Raw genomic sequence first — 9,746 nt, 5'->3', positions numbered from 1 at the left:
ATAATTTGTTGCAGGTTACTATATACACACAAATGACACATAAAATGAAACAGATAAAAAAGAAATACTTCAAAATTTACCCTAGAATTTCAATTTGTGTAGAGGTTGTTCCATATGACTCCTTTTCTGCTCCGTTTAGGCATTCAAAAGTGACATTGACGTTTTACATCATAAAAAGCAATATTTCATTTTTAGGACAGGTCAAGGGATGGTAATGATAGATTTATGACTATGTCAAGATCGTTAAACAGATAAAAATGCAGCAGAATGTCAAGAAATCCTTAGCTCTTCACATACTCTGAACCTTACATCTTTGTAGGTGACTTTGATCTTAATTCCTATCCAGAGCATCTTACCTCACAGCTACATTTGTCAGATTTCTTACAGAACACTTCAACACTGGGAAATTTTGAAGATTCTTTTTTTTAAAAATTGCCTTTAAGTATTACACTAGGGACAGACAAATGAGCCATTTGTTCCCATGTCCCATTTAAAGGCAAAGAACATACTGAGTACATTAAGGGAGACATGAGCAGCCAGAATACCCAAGCTGGGAAAGACGATGCTATGAGGCAGTGATTGAAACCCATTTTACCCTGAATTGACTTAGTATTAATCATGCAATTATGAGCCAGTTTTACTGAATGTGTATATTTTTATTTGTATTATATTTATGTGCAACTTAAAAACTATTCATAATTATTAATAATAAATTCTCATTTTCCTAAATGCATGTTATGCAAGTGGGTACATTTTATGGAAACAAGTATATATATTGATCTGCTAGCATGAAGTACAATGATAAATAAACTTGTTATAAATTCACAGCAGAAAGCATTTCTGTTTACTTATATGTTGTTGTTGTTTACCTTACATTACTATAAACAATTTCAATTTATGACATAAATACATTATTAGGAAATTATTTATTTAGTATATATATGTTCAATACAGACATGGTTCAATGAGCTTATCAGTTTGCAAATATGAGAGGACATGTTAATAGAACATATAATTAATTTAATTTAAATATAAAAAATATTTAATTTTAATAAAGAGTGATAATTCTCCTAAGATTAAAAAAAAACTAGCATAAGTCTTTTTCTGTTTTATTTCAAGGGGTAATTTTTCTTATTTTTCTCCAATATTCTGACATATGATGAAGATTTTATGCTAGCAATTGTAAAAATTATTTGTATAATTAATACGTACTAGTTAGGATGGATGTGTTGTTTCAGAGTAACAGACATAATATGGAAGTGACTTTAAGCAGATCCTAAAGGTTGACCACGGGAAAAGGGAAAAGGAGCAACTGGGCATTATAGACATGCTGGGTGATAGTCTGAGCAAAGGAAAGGAGCTAGGGACTGGCTTGAGGCTTATTAGAATGATGCCACCATGTTTTTCAAGAATTGAGTCATATTTGTCCTATTGTTTTAGGAGTTATTAAGAAATTATTTTAGGCAGAGAGGAAAAGGGGTCCTTGGAAAGATTTTTGTCTCTTTTAAAGCAGCTCCAGAAATGTTTCTTGTCTAGCAGGAAACCCCCAGCTCTTAGAGCCAGGCAGGCAACCTTTGATATGCAAATGCAGGCCATTAAAAACTGGGTCCACCCAAACATGGCGATTCCCGCCCTCTTCTTGCCCTTGCCCTCACAGATTCCTGGCAACATGGCCGCCCCCACATATCTCCACTTGTGTAGAACATCATGGCGTCCTGCATTTGCATATTAAAAGGCTAGTGTGGGAGGGCCAGTTTTTCACGGGCTCCCCGGGAATAACATGCCTGGTCAAACTAATCCCCTGAGCCCTGTGCAAACCAGACACCACCTCCTCCAGCCTCCTAGTATAACTGGCTGGTTTCCGCGGCACTCGGGGTTTTCCTCTCTTGGCTTCAGAGTCCCTCTCCCTATGTCTCTGTTTTGGGGAGCTTCTTCCTTCTTCCTTGCCTATTAAACTCTCTGCTCCTTAAGACCACTCCACATGTGTCCATGTTGTTTTATGCAATTTGACTGGAGACAAAGAACCCTGGTGTTCCTCCACTCATCGAAGCTATATCACTATCATTATTGCCTTCTGGGCCTGTTTCAAGTATTTCTAAAAAGTGTGTGTATATGTTTGGGTGTACATCCATGTATGAGTGTGTATGTACAGATTTGACTAATAGAATAAATTGATTGAATGCAAAGTTATCTCTATTAGATAGGTTCCTTGATCAAATTTAGCTCTAGGTAGAAACTTTCAGATTGGAAGGATTTACTCATGGGTTCTCCTTTGTAATGATAAAATATTAATCCAACATACAGAATGCTGATGCCATTAAAAAGTGACTTTTTCCATGTATGTATTTTATAAATGTCATTGAAATATAACCCAAATAACTCAGTACAAATAAAGTACTTGTCTCTCCCCCGTTTTTTTGGAGAATTTTATTCTTGGTTATAATCTTATTAATAGAAACTACTATATGCCCACAAATAAGTTCTGTAGATGCCTTTACTCAGACCATAAACAACATAAATTCAGTGATATTTCAAAGTTTTATTTCCTGTTATTAATATTGTATACTATTTGGATTTATTATCTGATATCTTTATTTCTCCATGCTATCTTGAAACTTTAAAAAAAGCATGAATTTTTCCAGAGGTTAAGAACAATATTTGTAAATTCTAAAGCAAATTTTTATTAATATTAATAAAAATGAACATAAAAAATAAAAATATGTATATATCTATGACAGAATATTATTCAGCCATTAAAAATAAGGTACTTCTGTCATTTGCAACAACATGGATGGAAGTGGAGGACACTATGTTAAGTGAAGTAAGCCAGGCACAAAAAGACAAATATCACATCTTCTCACTCATGTGGATGCTAAAAAAATTGATCTCATGGAGGTAGAGAGTAGAATGATAGATACTAGAGTCTGGAAAACGTAGGTAAGAAAGGGGTTGGTTAGTGGGTACAAATACACAGTTGGAAGTTATAAGGTCTATTGCTTGGTAGTATAATAGGTCAACTTTAGTCAACATTAATTTAATTATATATTCCAAAATAACTAGAGAAGTGGATTTGGAGTGTTCTCCACACATCACAGTTTTAGAGCATCTTATTTTATGTTATTACCTTATAAACCAACATAAATTTTCAGAAACAATTTGTAAAAAAAATTCCACACATCTCTTTCCTTCATAAATTACCCAGTCTTACATAGTTCTTTACAGCAGTGTGAAAATGGTGTAATAGATCATTCTGAGGAGAATTGGTCACTTGTTAGCCAACTGGAGCTCTCTGATGTTTCAGGCTATAGACAGGTCTGCAGGGTGTGCAGTGGCTTGGGCTCTGTTCTTAGCTCCAGATGGTTATTGGGTGAAGCTGGACCAAGCTGACTTGCCCTCTCATCTCCCAGCAGTGGGTACCAGCACATGTTCTGATGGAAGTGTCAGGGGGAGTGACATAGACTCTGTACGATTTTAAGGTTATAAAGAGCCTTGGTTTGCTGGCTTTCTCAAATGCCAGCTGTAATTGTAAGGTACTGGGCTTGTGGACAGGCTCAAGACCTCTTGGGTAGCTGGGGCGATGTAGCCAATGATAATAGCTGAGGTTGCACAAGTTTTCTTCTTCCTGAGCACTGTTATTGTGCCTGCAGGTGCTGTGTGGGCTGTGCCATTTGGCCCCCGGCCATGAGGTGGCACTTGGAAAAGAGCAGTAGCCACAGCAGTAGCAGTGGGATTCGTGCTTGCCTTATGTTACACAGGGGAAGCACTTCGGTGTCTCAGGCAATGAGTGGGGCCATGGAGCTCTCTAAAGTCCCTGTTTGTTGTGAGAAGCCACCAGAGTGGGTGGTTGGGCAAAGCCAGGTTGGGGGTCAGTCAGTCAAGTTCATGCTGTGGCTCCCCGTACTGCACAAGCAGCAGCCCCAGTGGGGATCAGAGGGCAGTTATCCATGGCCGCTGGGGTAAATTCCAGGGAGGAACACAACTCTCTGCTACACAAAAGACTCCATTCAGGGAGAGGAGGAGCAGGTGGCAATAAGCTCCACCCAACTCCCATGCACTTGACAAGGCAAGTCTCACACCTGTAATGTTCTGTAGCAACAGCTAGCTGAGTTCCAGGCTGCCTGCACTCAGAAGGCAAAACCACCCCAGGCCACACAAGCCTTCATAGGGAGACAAAAACTGCAGCATTCAGGCCCCTCCTCTCCCAGTTTACCCATGAATTAAGGGTGCCCAACCCCTGCACCTATGGCTAGAGCACACTTCCCACTTGACTGTCAGTTCTGGACAAGAAGGTTCATTCTCATGCAAGATTATATCACAAATCTTAGTTGGGAGCTTCTCTCAACCTATGACTGCTGCCTGAGTTAGCTGGCAGACTTCCCACAAGGTCCCTTATAGGAGGGAGGATCAGGAATGGCTTCCCTCCGTTTCTGATAAGGTCTGGGAGTATATGCAAAGCACATCCTAACCACACCCTTTCTCATATACTTCCCACAGTTCACTAAATCAGCTCAAGGTAGGGTTAAGGCACTTTTCCATGGCCTGGATTGCCCGGCTTCCCAGTGGGAGGGTATATCATGGAGAGAGTCTCCCCCTTTCACACTCTGGAGACTTACAATTTTCTGCCTGGCTTTTGGTGTAAGCTGCTGCCTGCTGCTACCTTCAAAGTGCCAGTGGTTTCTTTCAGTTTTTCTGTTGAGTTCCTGTGTTGCTTCCCGTATAAAAGTTCACAGCGTGAATCTGCACACAATTTTGTCTTTCCAAGTGGGAAAGGCATGTTAACAAGCCAGCCTTTTTGATGGAATTTGTGTTTCCAGGGATACAGGAGCAATTGTAAGACAGTTTCAAAGCTGGATCATATCTCCACAGGAGATTTACAGAAATTCCAAATTATTGGGGAAAAAAACACAGAAATGAATTAGAGTCTTATGTTCATAAGAAAGATGTCTCAGTGGAATTTCTGATCCATCTACTGCTATGTCATGTGAAACTAACAAAATATAGGTATTATGTCAGGAGAATGTTACCTTATTAGTGAAATAAACAGGTCTCTGATATGTCAAGAAATTACCAGCAAAATATCAAAGGAAACGTTCGAACTCCACAGCACAGTTGGAGCATGAGTAAAATTAAATTTAAAAATGGGTAGTAGTGATTACACTAAAACATAAGTGTAAGAAATGTAATAAGCAAACTGCAGACAAAAACCCAATCTAGAAGAATAAATAACCTGAAAACAGGAGGAAATTCCCCAAAGCCACACCAAAATACATGGGTCAAGTTAATAAGAACAATAGCTACATGAAACACGAGAAGAAAGAAACTAACAGATAAAATGATATAATGGTAGATTTCATACCTCAGAAGGCATGTTAAGCAACCAAAACCATAATTTTAGGACTCTTTCATCTTAGAAACTTTAAGGAATAAATAGCTATAGTGGAAAAACAACTTTCAGACAGAGATATAGCTTGATATAAATGTAATTCATCCTGATAAAAAATAAAATGTGAATGTTTATAAATATGTACATAATTATGGAAAAATATGATTGATCAAAAGACTAAATATTGCCCTAAATTGGAAAAGAAAAAATATAAACCGAATTATAGGAGAAGAAGGATACTCTCCTCTCAGAAAAGTTTGGTTAGAGCTGCTTTTCCTCCCCAGCATCTACTTGTAATAGACGGAAATTAAAAGTTAATGAAAACAATAGATACCTGATCAGTCAAAAAAAAAAGTCACATACAAGTTAGAAAAAAAATCAACCATGTATGAGAATTTCTTCTACAATAAAAATAGAGAAAAAAACTGTAACACCTAAAAAAGTTAAAAAGAAGCTGTTTAACACTAGGAATTAATATACTCAGACAAGACTATATACATATATTTATTTATAAATATTTATTGAAATATTTAAATATATATTTTCTATAAACATATTGAATATATATTTTCTATAAACATATTGAATATATATTTCTATAAATATATATTTCTGTAAATATATATTCAGTATATATTTCTATAAATATATATTGAAAAAATATATAAAATATATATAATATACAAATATATTTTAATAAATATATTGAAATATTTAATATATATTTATAAAAATATATTTATATTTGTAAAAATTTATATTTATAAAAATAAATATTAATATTTCGATGTATATTTATGTATACAGTTATATATAAATGTTTAAATATTTATACATATATTATGTATATTTCATATATATATATATAAAAAATCTTTGGAAGATGGAAAAAGAGTATGAGGAATCCAGATGAAAAACCTATAGTGAATGGTGAATACATAATGTTCTGCTCCTATCCAGTGCTCTTCCTTTTGAGCTCTAGTTGCAATATTAAGTACCATGTCAAAAAATAATGTATCAAATCACTTATGACAGCTGTGTGTTACCACATTGATTATAAAATTAAATATATAAATATAAATTCTTAGGACTTTGCTTTATTGCTGGGAAGACTGCCTGTCAGACTTTCAATTCAGAAATGCAGTGACAACTTTTGATGGTGTGTGGGCACAGAAAGAATATTTTTCTGCAGTGGTTGAGTCAAAAAAAAAAGGTGTTAAAAAGAACCATGTCCTCTGCCTTTAACCTTTTCTTCTTTTGGCTGACACTGTGCTAAACTTTTTTTCTTCGCATTTCTGAGAGCTATTTTTTCTCTCCAGTTGCTAAAACCATAGACTTCTAATGAAATCTGGACCTATTTTCTTTCTGCTTGCGGCCCCTTTGGGGACAAAAAAAATAGATCCTAAGTGTGATTCTCTAAGATTTTGAAATATTTTATAACATGGTAGATTATTACACAGATGTTGTGCAATCTTAACAAAACCTCTATGTATTACAACAAGAAAATTATTTTTGATAGGAGTAGGCTATGAGAGTGGACAGAAAATACTGTATAATGCTTCCAAAATTTTTTACAAGGGTACAATATTAATAATTTTTGCCACATTCACACATAAGTGAAGTACATTAAGTGCATTTGCCAAGAAAGCTTCACTATTCTAAATAGCTGGAAAATGGGTATCGTGTCATATACAAAAAGTAACTATACAATTAATCAAAATTATACTTGGTTCTATGTCCATGAACCATCTAAACAATCTACAAACAGTTAATGGTCCTACAGGATGGAAATTTGGCTTAGGAAATTGGGATGGGGAAAATATCTTGTAGGTTACCTGTAGAGAATATTTGACATCATTTAAATGAACTGAAGAGGGATTTATCTGTATATATTCTCATTCTATATTTACATCAGAAACAAACATCAAATGGATAATAAAAGCAAATACTAAGAGACATTAGCTTAGCTATTAAGGAGGAATTAGTCATTTTTTTCACCTAACTTCCATAAGAACAACAAAGTGTAGTGAATATCCTTTTTACAAGTGAAGAAATTGAAGCTAGAGGTAGCTACTTGTGAAGACTTGCAAGACTATTAAATTTGTAAAGCTTGCACACAAATCTTAAGTTTTTCCCTTCGTTCATCCCCCAGACCTGATCGTAATGTCTAAACATTTGAGGAAAGATGGACACTATTACCTAGGAGACTGGAGCAAACGACCTGTTCAGATCCTTTACAAACCAAAGATCTTATTGAATAGTTACAAGTCTATAGGAGTTTTCAAAGAGAGCCAAAAGACTGAAGACTAAAAGGAAGAAAAAATCATAGACAGCAGAAGTACTGTTTCCTTTAACAGACATAAAGTCTGCCAATCAAACCAAATATTGATTTTCTCTTGTTTGTTGTCTGGCTTCCGTGTTAGAGCTTCTGATGGTTAGTGGTGTAATTCTTCCCCTCATGCCTTTGTGGTTACCAGAAGAAATGTCAGCAATGGTAGCATATTAGTTGCCCATGGCCAGCATTTTCAGTTCCTTCATATTGTGTACCATGTAATTCCAAAAGCCACTGGGCAACATTTGCTTTGTTTTCTTGTTGTTTCCATAGTTAATGTTGGTCATTAATATCTGGCCTTTTAACTATCTCTGTATCTGTTATTAGTGCTTAGTACTTAGTTTTGACATAGTGACTGACTGGTGATGGACTAACTTCTTGGGCCTCCTTTTGATTATCCTAAAATTCATGAGTGATCCCATGGTGCCATCTCGTTAGTCAATTCTGCCCAAGTTATAAACTTGAAATTGACTTTTAAGAAGTCTACTCACGTTTCAAGCAATCACTCTTTAGGTCTGAAATTTAAAATGTATGCTAACTTTGTTTACATATTTTTAACTACTTTTTGTTGGCTTGTTTTAAATGCCTGTTTGTACAGACATCTGGATATGAATATCCAGAGGGAGAGTAAGTTGTCGGCAATGTCAGAAGTAATTTATAATTGTATATATATTCTTGTATGTATATAGAAAGAAATACATATAAGTGACTTGTCATAGATGTGAAACTAAACAACAAACAAATATAAATGTTATATTTGGTTTGCTCAGAAAATGAAATCAAATAATGAATTCCAACATGACTTCAATGTTTTGAGTGTCCAATCTAATATCATTATTAATCAATGAACAAATATGCATTCAGTATGTGATGAATAATTGCCAAAGTCTCACCACTGTGATAGGCAGGCTTTACCACTAATATGACACCAAAGAAGAAAAGACTATGTGAAAATAATTGAATAACTAAAAATAATAACCAGACTAGGTTTAACCATGTTAAATTTGTGATGTTTAAGTACTGCATTCTTAGCTTAAAATATATATATATATGAATGTTTAGAAATACTTTGTGATAGTGTATGTTTTAGACAAAAAAATAAAGGTAATTGAGTCTGTTGAGTATTTTTATATTACATCAGTAATATTTTATTGTTTTTCAACTAAAAACTCAAGAAGTGGCTTGTTATAAAATATTTTTGCTAAAGACCCAATAATATTTATGTTTATATTTGTATCTATAAGTTTATTACATTTATTAAAAACAAAATAGAGTCTTCACAGTTAATCAAGGCTGACTAGGCTCTCAGATCGAAAGTTTGTCTAACATCTTCATTAATATGGATTCTAGCTATTCATCACTTTTAATCTTTTGCTCTTTATTTCCACTTGGAAGAAGCTCATCATTATATTTTCCTGACAGTTAAAATTAGACTATAAGACCCGAGATTTTGTGAAGAAGTTGAATATTCTCTCCTCCTTTGTCCTCAGAAGCAAATTGTATGTCATTAGAGCATTATTAAACATGATTTTAGTTTTCTATCCAAGAACAGGACATTCCCTGTTCTTGGATAGAAAGAATGTCTTCTTTCACTTTTTTCATTCAAGTTTTATAATTTTATGACATAAAATCTGAACAGCTCTTGTTAGCTGTATTCCTAAATACTGTGTGTCTTCTATCTGTTGGTGGTGCAATTGACTTTTGTAGATTTGCCTTATTTTTATTTGACCAATATAATTTTTATTAATTTTAAATATTTTGTTGTTAATTTTAAAATCATGTTTGCCATGAAGACAGTCATAATTTAATACTCTTCAAATAATGAACATTTTATTACTTTCTTTGCAGAAGTTATTTTTAATTCATTTTTAAATTTTGCACTGTCATGTATTTTCATTAGAATGTTGTAGGAGTGAAAAAGGCAGGCTGCTTTGACATGTTCCCAATTTTAAAGAACACAAATTCAACAACTCACCTTCATACATTATTTTTCCATACACATTAACTTCTATAATTATTGTAAATATAATT

The 9,746-nt window shown here is 34.3% G+C and overlaps 1 pseudogene, besides 3 other annotated features; it reads right to left on the bottom strand.

The window, feature by feature from the left end:
* Window positions 1,212-1,778: an enhancer, noted in NCBI's record as "OCT4-NANOG-H3K27ac hESC enhancer chr5:19047486-19048052 (GRCh37/hg19 assembly coordinates)". NCBI's record gives its function as "activates a minimal SCP1, AML or CMV promoter by ChIP-STARR-seq in naive and primed H9 embryonic stem cells {active_cell/tissue: H9 hESC(naive and primed)}" and the evidence as "EXISTENCE:reporter gene assay evidence [ECO:0000049][PMID:30033119]".
* Window positions 1,212-1,815: a biological region, named in NCBI's record as "Sharpr-MPRA regulatory region 1435".
* Window positions 1,521-1,815: an enhancer, noted in NCBI's record as "tiled region #1435; HepG2 Activating non-DNase unmatched - State 24:Quies, and K562 Activating DNase unmatched - State 11:FaireW". NCBI's record gives its function as "activates a minimal TATA promoter and a strong SV40 promoter by Sharpr-MPRA in HepG2 and K562 cells {active_cell/tissue: HepG2 | K562}" and the evidence as "EXISTENCE:reporter gene assay evidence [ECO:0000049][PMID:27701403]".
* On the bottom strand, window positions 7,787-8,119 carry RPL32P14 (ribosomal protein L32 pseudogene 14; annotated as a pseudogene).

Source organism: Homo sapiens, chromosome 5, assembly GCF_000001405.40.
Source record: "Homo sapiens chromosome 5, GRCh38.p14 Primary Assembly".
Lineage (NCBI taxonomy): Eukaryota > Metazoa > Chordata > Mammalia > Primates > Hominidae > Homo > Homo sapiens.
Note: the sequence above shows the minus strand (reverse complement) of the source record. Positions and strands in the feature narration are given on the sequence as shown.